The sequence below is a fragment of the Homo sapiens genome, chromosome 1 (assembly GCF_000001405.40).
Source record: "Homo sapiens chromosome 1, GRCh38.p14 Primary Assembly".
NCBI classification, from domain to species: domain Eukaryota; kingdom Metazoa; phylum Chordata; class Mammalia; order Primates; family Hominidae; genus Homo; species Homo sapiens.
This window is the reverse complement of record NC_000001.11, coordinates 172,338,796-172,361,074: the sequence shown is the minus strand read 5'-3', so window position 1 is coordinate 172,361,074 and position 22,279 is coordinate 172,338,796. Positions and strand designations below refer to the sequence as shown.

Below are 22,279 nucleotides of genomic sequence, written 5' to 3'. Positions count from 1 at the left end.
AGAGTCATCCTGTGCGGGAGCTCAAAGCTGTTCTCTGACTTCTGTTGTAAAAGTCAGGTATAGCCCCAGTTTTCTTAGTAGCCATTTGTGGCTCTCATTCATAAATCTGGCTAAAAGATTTCTGAATTCATTTACATTTCCTGCCAGTCCCACCTTTTGGGACTAATGAGTTCCACAAGTTTATAACCTGCTATGTGAAGTAGATTTCCTTTCATTTGCCCTAAACTTACTGCACTCTGTTTTAAAGAGTGCCTTCCTTGTCCTAAGAAGAAAATGTAAACAGAATTATAAGATGAGGACAGATTGGCTAAAGTAAGCAGGGCAGAAAAAGAGCAAAGGTGTTACAAGCAACCGCAGACTACCTTAAATCCATAGTGTAGTTTTAAAAGGCAAACATGGCTGGAATGCATGATCCAGAGGGGAGCTGGGTGTGTTACACAACAATAGCTCCATTGTTCTTAGCACTTGTTAGACCCTTGCAGGGGCTCTGCATTTTGCCTGAGGCTCTACTGCTCAAATGAAAGGGAGAGCTTGAATATTTAGCAGATATTAAGAAAACGGATTAAAATACTGGAAGTAAAAGTAAACAAATTTGGATGTCTCAGGGTATACAAGAGAAAGTTATTCTATATAAAAATAGTAGGATACTATCTATAAAGTGAAAAATAGTTGTTTTACATTTGAATTAAAGCACAAAGAGGAGTCAAAATGCATCAGATGATGATTTAGCTTTGCTATAAGAAGGAACTTCCTGACACCTATTATTATATGTAAGACCAAGTGGAGATAGAAAACTTTGCATTTTATTTTGTTTTGAATGTTCATAATTCCAAATTGATTTGGGGTTCATCTTACCTTTGTACATCCCTCAGTGGATTATAAAGATAGCTAAATGAGTTATTTACCCAGAGGGATATGGTAATATTGAATTAGGCATCTTACAAAATAAATTTGTGATGAAAATACTAATATGTACACTTTTAAAAATTATAAGGAAACAACTAATTTTTTTAAAAAAATCAATTTTAGTGTGCTAAAGTAGACTAAATAGTAGACTAAACTATCTGTTGCATTTTTTTCCTCCAAGGTCATAGTATACAGTTGATTATAGGAAAGTCTTGTGTTTTAATGGAAAATAGGGCAAAGGTTATGTGCAACAGGAATCCAGTCATGTGGAGCTTGCAGAACGCAGGTTAGGCTCATAAAACTGCTCATTAAAATGCTGTGTTCTGAAGCAAAAGCAAATAAATGAGCTCAGGGAAAAGAGCCGCAGAAAATTGTCTAGAAATATTTCCATGAAAGACTGTGAAAATAGTCCTTCCCAGTCATAAGAAACGTGCAGATATTGCTTATACAAATAGCCCACACTTAAAAGACTTTTAAATACCTTCCCTGAAATGCTGGTTTTGACCTTCTGCCAAGAGCTACTTAAGGTTTTTTTTTTTTTATTTTTCTGAATAGACTGTATGATGAGTAAAAAATAAAAAGGCATATACACCAGAAGCTTTTAAAACAACATGAGAAGAACAGTTTGGTTATTACTCCCTACTCCAAATTGTAGTTTAAACTTAGCAAGTTCACAAGTTCTACAATGGTTTTAAATGCCAATCTCAAATTAAAGAAATTAAGACAAAAAAAATCTTCAAGATTTATAGGGCTCCCTGATTCTCTACATTTTACTATCTTACAGTAGAGAAAACATAGATTGAGGAATCTAAAAAAAAAGTAATAGTTATGGCTTGCTGGCAAAATAATGAACAGCAAGAAGATTTCTAAGAAGACAGCCCCAAAGCAATTCAGACAGACCATGCTTACACAACGGCTGGCTGGTCTATGCGGCCTCAAGCCAAAAACAACAGCCAGCAGCTCCCATCACTTAGAAAGGAAACTGCACTACTTGATGCTGATTAAATGTGTGTGTGTGTGTGTGTGTGTGTGTGTGTGTGTGTTTTGTGGGAGTTGTTCAGATGCCCATCTGATTTTCAGTATAAATTCAGTGATGCCCCAGGCCCCGTCTGAGCCACCAGAGGGGCAACCAGGTGAAATCTCACCATGCTAAGTGATTAACCAGAGTGAAGCCAGCTCACAGAAAACAGACTGCTCCAGAAAGAAGCACAAGTAATGAGTCATGTGGTCTGAAATCATACCGACTACTCTGTCTGTGGCTTTTTTTTCCTTGCACCATTTCCACAGTGTGTTAGAATCAGGAAGGGAGACCCGGAAAGGAGTCAAATATGAGCATGGAAATTTTATGTGCTTTTTATTATCTTAAGTAAAAAGAATTACCAGTGGCAACATTCCCTTTATACTTCTACAACTTATTTTATCTCAAGAAAAGCAGTCTGGAGCTGGCTTGTGAGAAGCAATGAATCAAACTGAGAGAGACTCCTTCTAAAAGCCAGGCTGGATCACAGCAGGCTTCTGGCCAACATTTACTCTGCTGTTTCAGTCAGGTTTCACTGCTGTTGTTGCTGTTTCATTCTGGTGGGGGAGGGAGCTGACTGAGAGTCTTGTAGAGATTTGGCTAAAATAAAAATAGAGCTATTTTACAAAGCTAAACCAACTCACATCCTGTGAGATAGCCTAGATGTTTGATAAACCACATCTTGGCAACAACAGCTCATCTCTGAGTTAGCTGTAAAAAGGGATTTTCCTAATTCATCCAGCTCTAAACAAAATAACCCGCTCTTCTTTCTTCCCACTGGTGTTTGACATACCTTATTCAGGAATAATTATTTCTTTTACTTTAGTAGATTTTAAAAGCTAGCATTGTTCTTTCCATAGTGGTCATTTACATTTTTACCTACGCACACACACATATACACACGCGCACATTCTTGCACAAGTTAGCAAGATTTAAAGCCTCTCATTTTTTATTCTTGAAGTCCCGAAAGGGAAACTGCTATTCATGTGCCAAAGAACACAGCCATTCATTATTATTTTTTCTTTATTTCTCTCTGTATACCCTCCCAATAGGATTAAAAGCGGTCTGGGATGTAGGGTATGAAGGCAGAAGAAGGAGAGGAGTGGGAGGTAGGAAAAGATGGCATTTTAATAGCCTCTACCACACTGATTCAGCACAGTAGGAACCTTGTGCTTCAGACTCAAACTGTTTCCTTCCTGTTCAGCATTGCACTTGGCCCACTTTTCCTGAAGCCATGCATTGATGTCTGTGGACAGAACTGGAGGTAACATATAAATGGCCTTTCTTAGAATATGGGAGGATGGAGAGGTCTAAGGAAGCTATCATTAACACTATCTTTGATTTGTAAAATAATTTTCATCTTGAAATAATTTGTCTTATTAAAAGGTTGAAAATTAATACAAAGAATTCCTGTACATCCTTCACCCAGATTCTTCGAATGTTAGTATCTTACAAAACTACACAACAATGATCAAGATAAGGAAATTGACATTGTAATACTATGACCCAGGATCTAATCCTCAATCATGTATTACATTTAGTTATGCCTCTTTAGTCTCCTTTAATTTGGAGCAATACCTCAGTCTTTTTTCATCTTTTATGACCCTAATAATTTTGTACAGTATTGACCAGTTATTTTGTACAGTGTCCTTCAATTTGATGTTTCCTCGTTATTAATTTCAGGTTGTGCATTTTTAGCAAAAACACGCCACATAAATGGTGTGTCTTTCTCAGTGCATTACATCAGGAGACATGTGATGTCGATCTGTCTCATTACTAGTGATGTTAACTTTGATCATTTGGTTAAGATGGTGTCTTCCAGGTTTCTCCACTGTAAAGTTTCTATTTTTTCTCCTTTGAAATTAATAAGTATCTTGCGGGTGATATTTGAGGCTATGTGAATATCCTGTTTCTCATCATACTTTTACCTACTCATTTTAACATCCATTGATGATTCTTAAGAGAAACTATTACTGTGATGTTTTGCAAATGGTGATTTTTAAATTTTGATCTTCTCTTCTAAATTAATTAATTATGAGGAACAGCTTTCCCTTCTCCTTCATATAATTACTCATTCAACTGTTTATTTATGTAAGTATGGATTCTTATTTTATTCTATGGATTATAATCCATTACTGTCATTATTTTATTTCTGAAATTGTCCCAGATTTAGTCATTGGGAGCCTCCTGTAATTTGCCTCTTGTATCTTTTTCACATATATCCCCATAAGGTTTTGAGCACTTCCTTACTTTCTAGCATCATGAGACATTCCAGGCTCATCTTGTACTTTCTCTGCCCCAGTCCTGGAATTTCTCCAAGGATCCTTGGCTCCATTTATTGAGAGATAGTATAAAGTAACCTTATCTTTTTCTGTGAGTCACAGTGAGTACATAACTCTCCTAGTGGTAAAAAGTCACCAGCATGTGGGTGGAGAGAAACAAAGGTCCTGTACTTCCAGTGTTGTGGGGGTACAGTTTTCATAACCATAAACTTTAATATAATAATGTCTTTCCCAGCTCAGCCTAAATTGGAAATCCTTGCTTAGGTAATGACCTGGAATCATAATAGAATGTGCAAGATCAACACAATTAAAAAAAAAATTCTGAGGAGTCTATGGCTCTTTCATTACAAATTTAAAACCCCGTCAAATTTTCAGTATGTTTAGCAAAGTGTAACTTGGATTAAAATAAGTAAATCTTATATAACAATGTTTACTGTTTTTTCCTGATTGTTTTATAAGTCAAAAATGAACAAAATATGGTTAAAACTTCTACATGGCAATGTAATTAAATTAAGTGCTGTTTAGTATTTGTGAGAAAATAAAACTGTTCAGATGGCTTTTAATCACCATACATTACTATTATTCTTGTTGTTTTAATATTGGCTTAGATTTACCTAAATGTTTACCCACTTCTTTGTCCATGTTCCTTCTGGATCATTTTCCTTCTTCCTAAAGTACATTTTTTCGTTTCGTTCCTTTTATCTTTGATGGCAAACTGTTTTTGCTGCCTGAAAGTGTCTTTATTAGGCCTCACTTTAAAATAATCCTTTAACTAGGTATTCAGCTGTAGCTTGGCAGTGTTTCCCTCTGTACTTTGAAGATGATTCCATTATTTCTGGTTTCCACTTTTGCTCTTAAGAAGTCTGAACTGTTGTTCTTTAGTAGTTGATATATTTTTTCTCTGGATGCTTTTATGGTTATCTCTTTGGCTTTGGTGCTCTGCAATTTCATTATAATGTATGTCTGGATGTTATCTGTGGTCTTCCTAGATCTTAGAATTCATGACTTTCATCAGTTCTGGAAACATTTTAGTCATTCTCCTATTCTCCTCTAGAATGATGATTAAACATATATTAGATCTTCACAGCCTGTCCTTCGTGTCCTATATACATTCCTATCTTTCCATCTTTCTGTGTTACATTCTAGGTAATTTATTCAGTTATATATCCAATCGTGTATAGGAGCTGGTTTATACCAGCTCATGAGAACCAACTGTACACGTCTCTTTCCAGTTCACTACGTCACATTGGTAGCTTAAAATTGACTACCAATGGTGGGAGCATTCACACCATGGAAATTAGCAAATGCTACAGAACAGGGCTTTCCCCCATCCTGGACAGCTACTTATTAAACATCTATCAGCACACCACTGTGTAGAACCTATTTTATGTAGTCTCTCTCCAGCTGTTTAATCTATTCATAAAATTTTAATTTCAATAACTGCACTTCATTTTTCAAGTTCTATTTGGCTATTTTAAAAATATGACTTGTCTTTAGAAAGTGTTCCTTTCTCAAATTTGTCATTTGCTCTTTTATTTCTTTAAATTTTTTAAATATAGTCCAAAATCTTTCCTACTGTTTGTTATTCTCTTGACTTACTCATGATGGCTTTGTGTGTGTGTGTGTGTCCTTTTAAATGTTGGATTGTGTATTCAAGTTTAGCTGGGCTTCTATTAGATCTGATTTGAGGGTGTGTTGCTCCAGAGAGTATTTATGTTTCTACAGGCTCCCAGAACTGCTTCCAACTTTGGTCCACTTTAATTTCTCAGCTTTGGTTCTGCTTGCGCATGTAAGTGATACATATTTGAATCTCAAATTACAGAATGAGGAACCTATACAAATGGATTCTCAAAGACTTTTCTCTCCTTCCATTCACAGTGCAAGCCGAGACAAATAACTTTCCTCATTTTCTCCTTTTAACGGCAAGCGGATTTTTCTTGATTCACCATTTTCACTGAAGGTGTAGCTTTTTAAGTGTCCTGGCTTACTGTAGGGGTCTTGGTTCCAATTCCCCAATTTTTTCGGGCTGAAGTATTTTCTCCTATCTCCATATGTCTAAGTACATCCAAAGCTCTTGTGTGCAGTGATAGCAAATGCCCCAAGGACAGCTGTGGCTTCACCATAGGCCCTCTGCTTTCCAGCTCCCTTTTTATTTTCTTACCCAGGAATTTCTCATCCTCCTGTGTGCTCAGTCAGGAATTTAAAAGAGCAATTGTCACATTGTCCTTAATATTCCTAGATATTTTGAAGTCAAGATAGCCAGTCTAAAAAAAACCACTAGAAATCAAACTCTACATGTCTTTGTGGACTTATTACAGGTTAGAATAATAAAGATTTGAGATTTCTCATTGTGATAGAAGCAGGAGGAAGATAAGGGGGAAAGTCCCCAGAGAATCTCCCACCAGCCTGAGCACTGAGAGGACAGGGTGCAGCCTTGGGAAGTTGGTGCTATTTGCAGTGGGGAGGAGCCTGGCCTCTCCTATTTCTGTGTGATAAACCAGGATTCAATCTGTGAAATGGGGGCCTGTTAACAGGAACCCCTCTCACTTTGCTGAGAATTTTTTCCTTTTCTCCCAATAAATTCTGTTCTCTCTCATCCTTCAGAGTGTCTGCGTGACTAACTCTTCCTGGTCAAGAGACAAGAACTCAAGAACCCGGTTTTTTCTACAACATTTTGTCCTTGGCCTTTTTTTTCTTCAGATATTCTTTAGCAAAAATGTCTTATTTCTCTCTCTCTCTCTCTCTCTCTCTCTCTCACACACACACACACACACACACACCCCAACACCTTTATGTCCTAAATACCTCCCAGTTAGCACTATTATTACCTATTTCGGAGAAGTTACTGATCCTTACAAAGCTCTCCGTGAACCACGAGTAAGTGGAATCAAAGGTTGAAACTGAAAGCAGTTTACATCCTAAGCACTCTTTTTGGCCAAATTTTATTTGGGCTCCATATACTGTAGACTTTTAGTTTTCTTTGATACTGATAATAATACTGTACACTAGTCATATAAATATGAATATATACTTTGTATGAATGTAGAGGCATACAGTTTTCAAGTTGTTTCACTTATATAGTTTGTTTTGAACTTTAGACCAGCTTCATGATATAAGTAGACTTATTATTTGCTTTTTCAAAAGCTAAGAGTCAAAAAGGTTTCATAATTTTTCCAAGGCCATACAATAAATTGAGAGCGTTCATAAAATGAAAATTCAAGTTTCCGAGCTCTAAGTTCAGTAATCAATAAGCACAAATCAATCAGGAAAAGTGGGACATTTTCTTATATCTGTGAGGAAGAAAGTTCTGTTGAAATAGAAGAATCTGTGATTAGGTCAGGGGGCCATATGAATACATTTCAGCTAGGGGCTCTTCTGTATATATTTTTACTTGTTTTCAACATTAGATACAAAAATGAATAAAAGCTCTGAAGAAAAACCCTTAGCTTTCTGAGTGCTTTTAATATGTGTCATATTATTTTATATCTACAAATCTTAATTTCATTATTAGTGAGACAGGGACAAGACTGGCATAAACCTTAGGACTATTGTGAAGAAAGATGACAAATTTGATTATAAACCAGTAACAGTCAAATCTATATATTCCATGGAATGCAGAAAGAATGTATCAGAGAGTGATCTGGGTTTTGATGGGTAGGAAGATGTTCATCCGGTATAGAATAAATGACAGCATCTTGCAGGCAGGAGGAACTACACATGCAAAGGTGCAGAAACAGGGCAGAGGATGGTGCACCTGTGGCCTGTGGATATGGCTGCTTGGTGGATGGAGCATCAGGGGTGTATGTGGGTGGCGGAAGTGTGAGGAGAATACCTTGAGGTGGGGATTTGAAAAAGAAGAGTAATCTCAGAGGTCCTCCTCCACTGTGCTGAATGGGGAAACAGAAAATTTAGGAAAGTGAAATGATCAGATCCCTATTGTGTTTGCTTGTGTCTATTGGAAAGGATTTTCAAGACCATTTGTTTTGCTCTTAATTTTTATTTACTTAAGTCCTCCAAAGGATCTGGATCACTCAGGATTCAGAGGGCAGGTGGTGCATATGGGTCTTCCAGAGAGCAGACATTAATATATTAGAAGCCAGAGGCCCAGGGTATTGATTGCTTTGAGCTGTATCTTCCAAATGTGCACCAGAATCACCAAAGGAAAGAGGTAACAACTTTTTCCTTACCACTGTAACTACTGGAGGTGAGTCACTTGGTATTTCTAAAACCACAGGTATACTCCAGATAGCCTTGAAAGACACACCCTTGTTGGTGAAAATACGTTAACTAAAGGGAAGCAAGTATACTAAGGTGCTCAGTAGCTCAATTTTAGTATAGTTTGTTTATACATTTTTGAGTTTTTATTTTCCCTGAGGCTTATGCTGTAGTGATTTAGGGACTCTATAGTTCAAATAAATTCTGTAACACAGACAGCTGACACAGAGGACTAGAATGTTAAAGTCCTGCTCATTCCTTGCCTATTTCCAGTTAACACTCATATAAAAAGAAAAAAAAAGTTCACTTTACAAATAGTCAACTAAAAGATATAAGAACTTTAGTCATTGAAATGACTTTTTTAGCCTTTAATGGAATGGCAATTTTAAGATACAATCTCTCTACCTTCATAGGCAAATCCTTGCAAATCAATAAATTGGAATTTCTTCATGAATTCTTAACACTCACAGTGAGATTTGTAGTGACAGCTCTAGGTTCAAAAGTGCATTCCTGTTGTAAGTGGACAACATGGGATCATCCAGTGGAATGAAGTCCAGTATTACACACACAGCTGTACTCTGAGATGTAATTTTAGACGTCAGGATAATGTATGTTGAAGCTGTGTAAAACCACAATCCACCAGTGGATCATGATGCCTTTTGGCAAACTGTTGTTTATTGTATTAGTCTCCTTTGGCTGTTCAATGATCTGGGAAGCTGACGGATCGGAATTTGTCACTTAAGCCATTCATCCTCAGCTGCCAGGAGGTGGGCACATTCTGACCTCTGGCATTAAAGCTGGGCAGAGTTCCATATGCCATTCTATGAAGAATGTAGTCACATAGCTCCAATAAAGACATCCTGTTTAGCAATACAGTGTGAAGAAAACTTCACAACAATTGTTTAGATATTTTCTGTCCATTTTAGTTGGGTAGAAGTCTGTTTTCCTTTCACCCATGTATAAAATAAAAGGGTGTCTTGAAATGGTGTATTAGAATGTGTTTCTCCTCTAGCACTAACTTGAAAACATCCAAACTTATTTTCCTGAAAACACATAAAAACTGCTAAGCTGAGACCTGATATATCAAGTTTCAGCCTGAAGAATTTTTTTGAGCCAATGGTTTATGCAGAAAATGCTGACAGATGTTGAACAGCCTCAGCAAAGCAATTTTTAAGGGAGTCCTGGGCAACAGACCATGTGGCTGCTTTGGAAGTGCTAAATTCTTATTGCTAAAAAAGTTTACTTTAAAAAATCCTAGTATTTATTATATTAAAATTTTAACAAATATTTGGAGAAAACCATCAATTATTCTATAGCAGAAGCTTTGGAACTCACTAGTTCCCATTTTGTGTATTCATTCTCTGGAACACAAAAATTTCTTAGATTTATCATTCTAAAAGGTCAGATAAGAGTCATACTTCTGGAATTATGACCTTTGAAGCAAAAGGTGTAATATCTAAATTTTTTTAATTGCCATGGGAAGTCTCAGAAACCAAGAGAATATAGATGGTAAACATTTGTGGCACTAAATTTTCCTTCCTAAGATACTAAAATATGAGTCAGGAGAACTACAAACAACACAGGTCTGATCAGAAACAACTGAATGTTTATAAGTGTTCTACAAGGGTTGCAGACTTTCCCAGGAGGGTAATAATTTAAAGGATGTCAGTGGATGCAAATGAATTTCAGCCATAGAAAGGAAGAAGAGGTGAATAGTACTTTTGTCTCTGGGAGACTTGGAATTTCAGACAGGCTCCATTTTGGATAATTCTATTTAGCCTGTCTACATTTTCTGATGTTGTTTCAGTTGGGAATGATAGAATGATATTCCTTATCCTGCATCCTGAACTGTTCAGCAGTGTCATGCTATGCTGTTAACAGCTGCCTGCCTCCATGTATATACAGATAGATGAGTTCCCTGCTGATATAAAAAGATTTTATGAATTGTGTCTTGTGTAAAAGAGAGCACTTTTAATGTGAGTGAGAACTGGAGCTTTTTTCTTCTCCCATGATTTCATTAGCATACCCCAGGCTCTGATATTCTAAAAGATTATCTAGATACTTTATTGCATTGCTAGGTTCCTTGAAGAATTGTTTTACGTTACGTTTTCTCCTAAACTAACTACAGAATTTCCTTTCTTCCTCTGTAGTGATACCACGACAGTTAAGTAATCTTTGAAAAGGCTGAATATCACCTAAATAATCAAATGGCACAAAAATATTGGTTTGCAAAAAAAATCCAGCTCTCTGTGTTCATCAGCATATTAAGTCACTAGCTGTAAGAATATTCCACATACAAGACACACAAACACACACACACACACACACACACACACAAGATAAAATGGAAGGGTATGAAAAATGTGAGCAACTTTGCAATGTTATTACTATGCCAAAAAGTCCTGAGGAAGGGCTGAAACTCCAAGTCAACTGCCACTAATCACCCAGAAGGTGACTTTCATTTATTATATTCTTTGTTGGAAAAAAATGATAACGTGATTAGTTAAAAGGATATATATGTATATGCCTAGTAGGCTTATCAGGATTGCATAATTTGAAAAAAGAACAGGCATTTTTATTTTCAGAAATCGATACCAATTTAGCATTTCCTATGTATTATGTGGGCACACATAGCACAGCATACATGTTTACCACTTTGGTATATTTCTTCTGACTCTCCTTCTGCTTCTTCTGGCCTTAGCATGAGTTTTCTATATACATGAGGGCTTGGTGCTTCTATGTTTTTAACCTCTTGCATTATAGTAATCCTCTTCACATATCATTGTATAAATAATATGATTTTTTACATAATCACTCAACCATATAATGACTTAATTCAGAATAATAAATCCTAAAGGCAAAAATAGTCTTTGGGCAAACTGATCCAATTAACATGTGGATTCTTTAGAAGCTTAGTGAACATTGTCTTCATTTATTTCATTCTAGTGAATTCAACTCAGGGGATGAAGTTTGGGAATTTTTAAAATCTCAATTTAGAAAATAGATATTTGATCATGTATTGCTATATTCACATTATCTTGAAATGAAATTCAGAACAGGATATTTTATAATTATTTTCTTATTAACATATGCTAAAATTAATAATAACTAGGTCCAAGACTATGTCAGATCACAATCAGTAGAATAAATAAAGATGGATCACTTATTCTTAGGCAAACTAGGAGACAAAATGAATTCCCTCTGACTATAAAAGCTGTCTCTGTACCTGCAAAGGATCTAATAATGGCAGCAGTAGTCACTTACTGAAAACTTTCAAGTGCCAGCGACTGAACTAATAGCTTTATGGATTTCATTTTCTCAGCTAATCATTTCGAGAATCCTCAAAAGGTGTGTTATTATCCCAGTTTACACATGAGGAAGTTGAGGTGCAAATGGATTTAGTAATTTTTCGAGTAAGTGTAATAGCAAGGATTCAAAACCCTAAAACCATTAGAAAATAGTCAGTATATAGCACTTTAAATGGATGAGCAAATGTGGTGTAGGAATCTGTAGAGCATCCAAGTGGGAAAGAAGCCTAGAGAAGTGCAAAGGAAAAACTAATATTCCTGGACATGTCTCTGAGGGCAATAACCCCTGACACTGGGGGTGGTGGTCTCAGAAGGTTGCCAGAGAAGGTGCTCTGTTTAGGACACCTTAGGTAATATAAATTACATTATTCGTTTACTGACAATGCTACTGGGAAGACGATGGGTCAGGTGGGACTGGCTGCACCTTTTCAGAATTTGAATTTACCATTTACTAACTTTTGAAATTGGGTAAATCATGTAATCTCTCCAAGCCTTAGTCTTTTCCACCACAAAATGGAAATAAGAACTCTAGCTCAGAAATATTTGTTATGATAACTGAATGAGATTTTTTTTAAAGCACCAGAACTATTCCTGGCACATATTTAGGAATTTAACAAATGCTAATTCCCTTGTCTCTTTTGTACCTAAATACATGTAAATTTTACCAAATTTTTCATATGTTAGGTAACACTAACTTTTCTTTTTATTGGGTTTCTTCTTTCCATTACTTTTTTGGTTTACATTTATTTCAGTACACAAAATACTCTGTACATAAATGTGTGAAAAATTTTGGTGGAGTATTAGAAGGAACATAGGCATAGGAATCAGAAGATATGGATCTGAATCCTGGCTCTACCACTCATCTGTTGAACGATATTGTACAGGTTAAACTAATCAGCAGTCCGTCTAATTCCACTCCTTTGTAGGTGACCTAGCTTTCTGGCTTCTTTTAGGATCTTTTTTTCTTTGGTGTTCTGTAGTTTCACTATGATGTGTCTTGTTGTTACTTATTATGTATCATTTCTTAAAAATCCTATTTGAGAATTGTTTTATTTCCTGATTCTAAGAATTGTTAGACTTCAACAATTTTAGAAAATTCTCAACCTCTCTCTCTCCTCCTACCTCCTCAATGTACTTTTAGTATACGGAATTGGATTAACTATAATCCTTGGTTCATGGCACACTTTCGTCTGCATCTGTTCATACAGTATCATGTAATACCATCTGCCAACTCAGCCCCCTGCCTCTCCCACTCAAAGTAACTATCAGTGAGAATAATTATCATTCCCTTACTTTCCTTTTATTATGGTTTTATTGCATCTATATTTAGTCTTAAAGAGTTATTTTTATCAGTTATTTTTAGTTTCATAAAAAAGAATATATTATATATAATTTTCTTTTACCTATATTGCCAATTCATGCATACCATTGAATGTACTGGAGTTCACTTGTTTGGGATGCTATATAATACTCCAATGTGTAAATATACTACAATTTACTAATTTGCCCTTCCACTAATGGCCATTTAGATTATTTCCAGGTTTTTCACTATTACAAACAGTGCTGTTATGAACGTTCTGTTAGTCGTCTTTGAATACTGTGTTTCCCCATTCTACTATTTCCTTCTAGAACTTTGATTAGAACATGTTAGAACTCATCTAACACAATCTGTGATCTCAATCCTTTTCTTTCGGATTTTATTCTGGCTTGGACTTTATTCTGGTCAGTGTATTCATATCACTACAGATTTTCCAGTTTACTAATTCTCTGTTCAGCTATATCTAATCTGATTCCTTGACACTTTTAATTGAATTTTTCATTGCAGTGATTATATTTTATTTCTAGAAGTCATTCCCCCAATCTGCTTGATCTTTTCTTCTCATACTTAAAGCCTCTTTATTTCTAAACATATTAAACAACTTTTTATTTCTGTACCTAGTAACTCCAAAATTGTAAATATCTCATCTCTGAAGGTCTGATTTCACAGCCTGTTGTTTCTCCTATTCTCAGTAGTGGTTTATTTCCTATGTCCTTCCTTCCTTTGTTCTTTGTAAGCTATTCATTTTCCTTAGAACTCTATCTTGGGGAGTTAAGGCCTGGGTCGAATTTGCATTTTTACAGAGAGGAAATAATTTTTTTTGGCGGGGGGGGCTTCTGCTAGTTCCTCTGAGGGTGGTACTAACCCAGGAAAATTAAATTCTGTACTTGAGGTTTGAGATGCTCAAACACACATGTAGTGTGAATTCAGACCTTACATTCAAATGGGGGCAAACTTGTGGCTATGCAGTTTAAAGGCAGATCACCACCCATCACTCCCCTTTTATTTAGTGCCAAGGTCAATACAATATAATTTCCTGGCTGCATTCTTCTGGACATTGGTTTTATTTTTAGTATATTCTTAGACCAGGATACAGTTTTTTCCAGTCCCAGCCTGTGTGACAGGCTCCTGTTAGGAGTCTTTGGAACTTGGAATGTACTAAGCTTTACACCTGTTTGCCAGGCATTATTTGGCCACCATGATGGAGGCACAAGATCTCAAAAATTTGGGTGAAATCCTCAGGATGGAAACCAGTGCTTTAGTTTCCTGCTTTCGTGTCATTTTCTGGCTTCTATGGATTCTTTCCTTTTAATTCATTTTGGTAGTGCATTTAATACAAATTTGATCTATTTTCTTCATCATTTAAACTATAAATATGTGTATATGTCCATGAGGGTGTCTGATTTGTCCTTCTGTTTAAAACAGAAGTCTGTCTATCCCAATTTCAACATTTATTACCTATTGCAACAGTATCTTAGTCGTCAGTCCTACATCCTAATATACTTACTCACTCCTAGTATAACACTCTTACTAAAATATAAAGATGATCCCATGTTTAAATGTCTTCACTGATTCCACAGTGCTCTTCAGATAAAGTCTTCCAGCCCTTGGCATACAAGGCCCAGCACGATTTGCTCTCTGTCTACCTCCCTGGCCCCTCAGTCTTCACTGTACACCTTCACATGCACTTCATGCAGCCATAGCTATGGACCTTCAGTTACGCCAATAAACTCTCATTTCTCTGAATTTTTACTTATACTGTTACTCTGTCTGGGATGCATTCTCTTTTCCATAGCTTTCTTCCTGATTCTTACTTTTGAAGTGACCATTCAAAAGTCACTTTCTCTTCAAAGCATTTGCTAATCTACATCTTTTTCTTTCTTTCTTTTTTTTTTTTTTTTTTTTGAGACGGAGTCTCGCTCTGTCGCCCAGGCTGGAATGCAGTGGCACGATCTCGGCTCACTGCAAGCTCCGCCTCCCAGGTTCACGCCATTCTCCTGCCTCAGCCTCCTGAGTAACTGGGACTACAACCACGCCCACAAGCACGCCCGGCTAATTTTTTTGTATTTTTAGTAGAGACTGGGTTTCACTGCGTTAGCCAGGACGGTCTCGATTTCCTGACCTCGTGATCCGCCCGGCTGCTAATCTACATCTTTGCTTGTTAGGAAAATGTAATTTAGGTACCTCTCATCTCCACCTCCTAACATAACGATGATAGCAGTTATGTTACAAGGTGATATGAAATTATTTTCTTATCAGTCTCCCCCTAAACTGGGAACCCTGGGAACAGGGACTATTTCATGCCCAGAATCAAGCATGATGCTGGACACATGGAAGGTGCTAACTAAATGTCTATATAATGAATAAGTAAATCAAGTGGCACAAATACACTTAAAAGTCAGGTATTTGATAAAGAAGACTTGTTCTAATGGATAACAGTGTGTGTGCATATGTGTATGTATGTATATGTATGTGTGATTTAGATTATCTGCTCTTTAAAATTATGCAGAATTTTTGACTTCACATCAATAAAAAGAATGAGAACTACTTTCCATTTTGATGTGCTTGACTTTGGAGCCAAATTAATAAGGAGAGAAGGGAGTAGTTCACTTAGGAAGCCCTTCATTCTCACTTGGCTGAGAACTGTTTTGTCTTCCAACATTATTGTCTCTAATATAATCAGTTTCCCTTTCTGAAGAAACCTCAAATAAGAAAGCAAGACACAGCTGAGAAAATATGTTTTGAGAACTAAATATTTTTAACTGTGATGAAACTAAAGCTTTTTGTTTAATTCCTTTCTATGAAATGAGAAACAGAAACTCTCAACTAACTGTTAGGGTTTCAGGCTAATGCCTCTGAACTTTCGAGAAAGACAATTCTTATTCCCTCTATGATTATAATTATGTTTTCTTTTCCAAGCTATATTTTAAAAGAATGCCAGTTTAGAGAAAAACTCTAGGCACATCTGATGTGGACATGAGACCCTACATATTAATGATCAACAGATAGAATAAAACTTTTATAAGGCTATAAAATATGAAGTATTCTGAAAGCTTTTGGTACTAGTATGCTTAATGGAATACAATTAATAGAATGCTTCTTTAGAAAAACACATTTTGTGATTTTTTTTGTGAGCACATGTACACATATACATGTATGTTGGTAATGGAATATAGAATTCTGATGGCTATTTTTCTTCAAAATTCAAATCAACCATTAATATTTTGAAGTGATTCCTCGTCTATTTCGAGTTTGAGCTGAGTCTCATCATAAAACACTGTGAGAAAGGAAACAAACTGCATAGATTCCATTTGGCAAATCAGAGGCCTGTAGATCTGACTGTGGTTCAGCCGCTGGCGCCATCAGTTCGGCTCCAAATCAAAAGCTGTGGAAGGAGGTAATTAGCAGGGACTCTAGACCACTCAGTTGGCAACAGCAGGCTTCTTATAGCCACTGGGAAAGTGGGTGGGAAGGGGTTCAGAAATATTCTGTAAAACAACATTTCTCCTTCAGAATAGAAGATTGCAATTATAGGGCCATTTTCGTGGGGAAAAAGCCAACTTTAACGCTTGTTTTAACACATTTGTGAAGGTGTCAATATTTAAAGAGAAAGTTCAGCCACTACCAAGGGAAATAATTACAGCCTCTAGTTCAATAAGAAGACGAGAATAGAAGACAATACCTTCTAACCCACTCACAACAGTAAAAGGGTAACATAACCTGGGCAGAGCAACCACTCACAATTCTTGGCAAAATATGGTTGCAATTCCTCATCCCATTAATTCCAGCAGAAATTAAACCAATGAGAGGCATTTTTTGCCAACGCAATGAAAATATAATTATGTAAGTCACTTTCAGAGGATGAAGTCCTCTGAATCTTGCCTGGCCGGGCTGTTGATTTTTCAAACTTGAGTGCTCAATGGAAAGAAATTGGCTACATTCGAGCTGCTCAATTTGGCTGTAGACGTGATCATTTACAGATGAAGGCAAAGCAGCCCTGAAGTGAACAGAAGATGAGAAGACTGCGTTCCAAATTGACCAGCTGAAGGAAAGTTTATATTTTAAAAAAACAATTACTTGGTCAGTGACTCATGGGGAAAGAATTCTTAAGCTTTCTTCAGGGAAACCCCAGTAAATAACATGTAAAAATAAAATGGAGATGGTGTTATCTGTTTGGTTGAGCCGTTCAGTTCACATAATAAACCTTTTGGCAAAAAAAAGGACCATTCTGAACACGATTATTCTCTCCGGGAAATCCCCAAACAGTAAGAACTACTGTGGCTTCCTTAAAATTTTACAGAATATTTTGTATCTCAGACTTGCATGTGAAATAAAAACTTGGAAGAAATATGGGAAAAAATCTGCTTTTTGTTATAGGGTTGAGGATTTTTCAGCTGGCTGCTTCTATGATTCACACTGCACTCGACTCCTCTGAAACTCAAAACCACATATCATAAAAAGCAACATGGGCTCGAGTTAGTCTTCCTGCTTTGTCCCTAGGAGAACTGACTGCTCTAAGTATGCCCCACAAGACACACAAGAGAAATGAATGAAAAGTTATCGGCCTGCATCAATTTACTGGAATATGGTGTAAATCATATACTTTAAAGGACAGCTGGAATTTTACTTTTTTTTTTTAAAGTGGATTTCACTGACATAATCTATAACAGTTTCAGTTCCTCTCTTTTTAATTAGTAAAAGCTTTTGGAATTTTGTTGTTTTTAGTCTCTAAGAACATCGCAAGAAAAAAAGGTTGAGAAAATATGTTATAAATGATTAAAGAAAGCCCTGCTTGCTGGTGCTAGGAATAGTTAAAGCTTCTCTATTCCCCAACCCCCTGCCCAGAATGCTTTGTTAAAGCCACACGGTGTCTAATCAGCATGTCTTTAGATTATTTTATGTTAATTGAAATTATGGTTAGTCTTAGAGGTTAATGTATACATGCACATGTGGCTTCAAAGCCTTCCCAAATTACTGGCTTAGCTCCTTCGCCTTAGGGAGGCCTGATCTGTGATAAAACTGACCGCATTAAACCAAGTTTATTGCTATGGAGTTTAACATAATGGAGAAAATATATTTTGCAGGTTTCTTTAAGAATTCCCCATTCTAAAACGCTCTCTTAGGATCCCTCAAAAAAGGTAAGAAAAAAAGAGGAAATGTAAAAGGGAAGGACAAAGAAACTGACTCATATCAGAAACAATAGCTTTACAGATTACTAAGAAGCAATGGAGAAGGCAAAGAACAAGACTGTCATAGATTGTGACTTCTACAACATGTTTACTTTTTTTTCCCTTTAACTTTTATTTTAGGTTCAGGGGTACACATGCAAGTTTGTTACATAGGTAAGCTCATGTCATGGGGGTTTGGTGTACCAACAATAGGTATTTTTCTGATCCTTTCTCTCCTCCCACTCTCCACCCTCAAATAGGCCCCAGTGTCTGTTGTTTCTCTCCTTGGGTCACTTGTTCTCATTATTTGACTCTCACTTATAAATGAAAACATGTAATATTTGGTTTTCTGTTCCTGTGTTCATTTGCTAACGATAATGGTCTCTAGCTTCATCCATGTTGCTGCAAAGGACATAATCTTGTTCTTTTTAATGGCCGCAGAGTATTTTATGGTGTATATATACTACATTTTCTTTATCTAGTCTACCACTGATGAGCATTTAGGTTAATTCCATATCTTTGCTATCATGAATAGTGCTGCAAGGAACATATGCATGCATGTGTCCTTATGGTAGAACAATTTATATTCCTTTGGGCCTGTAACCAATAATGGAATTGCTGGGTCAAATTGTAATTCTGTTTTTATTCTTTGAGGAAACGCCACACTGCTTTCCACAATGGTTGAACTAATTTACATTCCCACCATCAGTGTATGAACATTCCCTTTTCTCTGCAACCTCGCCACCATCTGCTATTTTTTTATTTTTTTAATAGTAGCCATACTGACTGGTATGAGATGCTATCTCATTTTGGTTTTGATTTGAATTTCTCTTCTCTAATGATTAGTGATGTTGAACATTTTTTCATATGCTTATTGGCTGGATGTATCTTCTTTTGAGAAGTGTCTGTGTGTGTCCTTTGTGTACTTTTTAATGGGATTGTTTGGTTTTTGCTTGTAAATTTGTTTAAGAAGTTCCTTATAGACACTGGTTTGGTTTTATTGCAATTGCTTTTGGCGTCTTCGTCAGGAAATATTTGCAAATTCCTATGTCCAGAATGGTATCGCCTAAGTTATCTTCCAGGGTTTTTATACTTATAGATTTTACATTTAGGTCTTTAATCCATCTTGAGTTAATTTTCGTTTATGGTGAAAGAAGGGGCCCAATTTCAATCTTCTGCATATAGCTAGCCAGTTATCCTAGGTCCAGTTAGGGAATAGGGAGTCCTTTCCCCAATGCTTTTATCAGCTTTGTTGAAAATTAGATGGCTGAAGGTGTGCAGCATTATTTCTGGGCTCTCTATTCTGTTCCATTAGTCTATACGTCTGTTTTTGTACCAGTACAATGCCGTTTTGATGACTGTAGCCCTGCAGTATAGCTTGAAGTTGGGTAACATGATGCATCCAGCTTTATTCTTTTTGCTTAGGATGGCCTTGGCTATTCAGGATCATTTTTGGTTTATCTGAATTTTATACTAGATTTTTCCAATTCTGTGAAGAATACTACTGGTAGTTTAATAGGAATAGCATTGAGTCTACAAATTGCTTTAGGCAGTATGGCCATTTTAATGATATTGATTATTCCTATCCATAAGTATGGAATTTGCTTCCATTTTCTTGTGTCATCTCTGATTCCTTTTAGCAGTGTTTTGTAATTCTCATTGTAGAGATCTTTCACCTCCCTGGTTAGTTGTATTCCTAGGTATTTTATTCTTTTTGTGGCAGCTGTGAATGGGATTGATTTCCTGATTTGGCTCTTGGCTTGGATGTTGTTGGTGTGGGAATACTGATTTTTGTATGTTGATTTTGTATCCTGAAACTTTGCTGAAGTTGCTTATCAGCTCAAGGAGCTTTTGGGCAGAGACTATGGGGTTTACTAGGCATTGATGGCACATATTTCAATAATAAGAGCCATCTCTGACCAACCCACAGTCAACAACATACTGAATGGACAAAAGCTGGAAGCACTTCCCTGAAAACCAGCAGAAGACAAGAATGCCCTCTCTCCCAACTCCTATTCAACACAGTATTGGAAGTCTTGGCCAGAGCTATCAGGCAAGAGAAAGAAATAAAAGATATCCAAATAGGAAGAGGAAGTCATACTGTCCCTGTTTGCAGATGACATAATTCTGAAAACCCCATAGTCTATCTAGAAAACACCATAGTCTCTGCTTCCCCCTTCCCCAACTGAAATGTCTCATTGCATTGATTTAGTGAAGGGAAATTCTACTCCATGAATCAATGAAATGTGCTTAACACAATTTATTCTAATTTATTCTTCACTTTGTGTCATGAAGATCGTAAAGTTCATAGTGAATGCACCATGTTTGTCAGTGACCCATCAGGAAAAGCTCCTAAGAATGGTCAGCATAAACCTCAATGGTGATCTTGTAAAGCAGACCAGTGGGAGCTAGGCAGGGGACCAGTATGGGAGACAGAAACTGAAGTTAGGACCAGCTATGCGGACCAAGTAGTGCTTCTCCTATGGAAACAGAAACTGAGACCAGCAATGGGGACAGAGCGGTGCTGCTTCCATGGAGTAGAGGCTGTCAACCTACATTTATAATACAAGGGAATATGTTGACCTACATCTGATTCTGATTACATCCTAAATTCCCAGAAGGAATCTAACCCAAAAGATTGGGAAGGGGCACAGTTTTCATTTGCATCATCATCTATTCCTTAAAACTCTCCTTGGTTCAGGTCCTTGCCACCTCTCTCCTTAAATACTATGACTCTCCTTGGCTCTCCTTAACTAGTACTACTTCTGGCTCCCACTAAATCCATTCTTCATACAGCTGCTAGATTGCACAATCTAAAACACCACTCTGACCTTTCATAGCTTCTTGATGGCACTGGATGAAGTATACTATCTTTAGTGATTGGACTCCTTGCCTATTGTCCAGGCATATGTCCCACCACACCTGACCTCACAAATCAGGTGTCATGCATTATGACCCAGTGAACCCTGAGCACACCTTTCTATCACCCTCTATTGTAAACTTCTGTTCTATAGTGAGCTCCTTAAGAACAGAAATCATGACTGACTTAGTAATCTTTTATTCTTAGCACCTAGCAGGTGCTCAATAAAAAATTGTTGAACAGAACTGATGTGAGGTGAGAGAAGCAATAAATGACATCAAACTCCAACAGGCAGGACAAGCAGGGAGGATATATGAAAGACGGTGGGCTTGTAGGCTTCTTTCACATATCAACTGGGAGGTGACTCAGGAAGATCTAGGCAGACACACTGAATCCCCAAGCTGGGGGAAGATTCGGAATCTGTTGCCCTAAAATATAGCTAAACACCAAGTGTTTGTTACACCTCTGGGTGCTTTGGCCCGTAAGCATAGCATGACAAAATCTATTTCAAACTGCACGATTTTGAGGAGCCCTTGGTTCCCAAACAGGTGACTGACTGGCTAATGCTGATAATGAGGCCAGGGCAAGGGCAAAGGTGTTTGACAGAGATGAGGTTGCTAAGGTGATATGAGCTAATGTGAATGTTCTAGAAACATATTGGTGAGAAAATAAACAGAAATAAAAAGGTAACACAGTTTGAAGTTGGGTAAAAATTTTCAAGAACAGCATTTTCATGGTGCTTCCTTCCCCCAAGTGTGGCAGATGCAAGCATTCAATACACTGAGAAGTCAGGAATGAAATTTAGTTAGAGGTAGACTGTAAAATAATCCCAAGAGGAAAAGCTTTTTACACATTGAAAAGCAACAACTTAACATATCAAAATACGACCAAATATTTCACAGTGAGATGTTCCCCCCAACTTTTCTTCAATAGTAATCAAACTTTCTTTTTTATTTAGAAAACCAAATGTCAATGAACATCATGATCAAGAGAAACTGTGAATACACCTTTGAACAAGTTAATATTATTTAGTAGAATAATTCTAAAAAGCAAGAATGTTAAAAGAAAGAAAACTAAAACTATACACCTGCACAAACAAACTTTCTACTATTTACGTGTGTCAAGTTCAGATGCACTTTCATTCTGGATTTAAAACCATAATGAAGGATTGATTATACACTTAGGTTCATCTGAAAAACTCCCT

The 22,279-nt window shown here is 36.7% G+C and overlaps 1 protein-coding gene across 16 annotated transcripts in view, besides 3 other annotated features; it reads right to left on the bottom strand.

Annotated features, from left to right (window-relative positions):
• Nucleotides 1-22,279, bottom strand: part of DNM3 (dynamin 3) — a 576,969-nt gene that overhangs the window by 57,392 nt on the left and 497,298 nt on the right. The gene's annotated exons all lie outside the window — the stretch shown is intronic.
• Nucleotides 75-701: an enhancer, noted in NCBI's record as "OCT4-NANOG-H3K27ac hESC enhancer chr1:172329514-172330140 (GRCh37/hg19 assembly coordinates)". NCBI's record gives its function as "activates a minimal SCP1, AML or CMV promoter by ChIP-STARR-seq in naive H9 embryonic stem cells {active_cell/tissue: H9 hESC(naive)}" and the evidence as "EXISTENCE:reporter gene assay evidence [ECO:0000049][PMID:30033119]".
• Nucleotides 2,182-2,261: an enhancer, noted in NCBI's record as "active region_2090". NCBI's record gives its function as "activates an Ori minimal core promoter by ATAC-STARR-seq in GM12878 lymphoblastoid cells {active_cell/tissue: GM12878}" and the evidence as "EXISTENCE:reporter gene assay evidence [ECO:0000049][PMID:35858748]".
• Nucleotides 18,302-18,411: an enhancer, noted in NCBI's record as "active region_2089". NCBI's record gives its function as "activates an Ori minimal core promoter by ATAC-STARR-seq in GM12878 lymphoblastoid cells {active_cell/tissue: GM12878}" and the evidence as "EXISTENCE:reporter gene assay evidence [ECO:0000049][PMID:35858748]".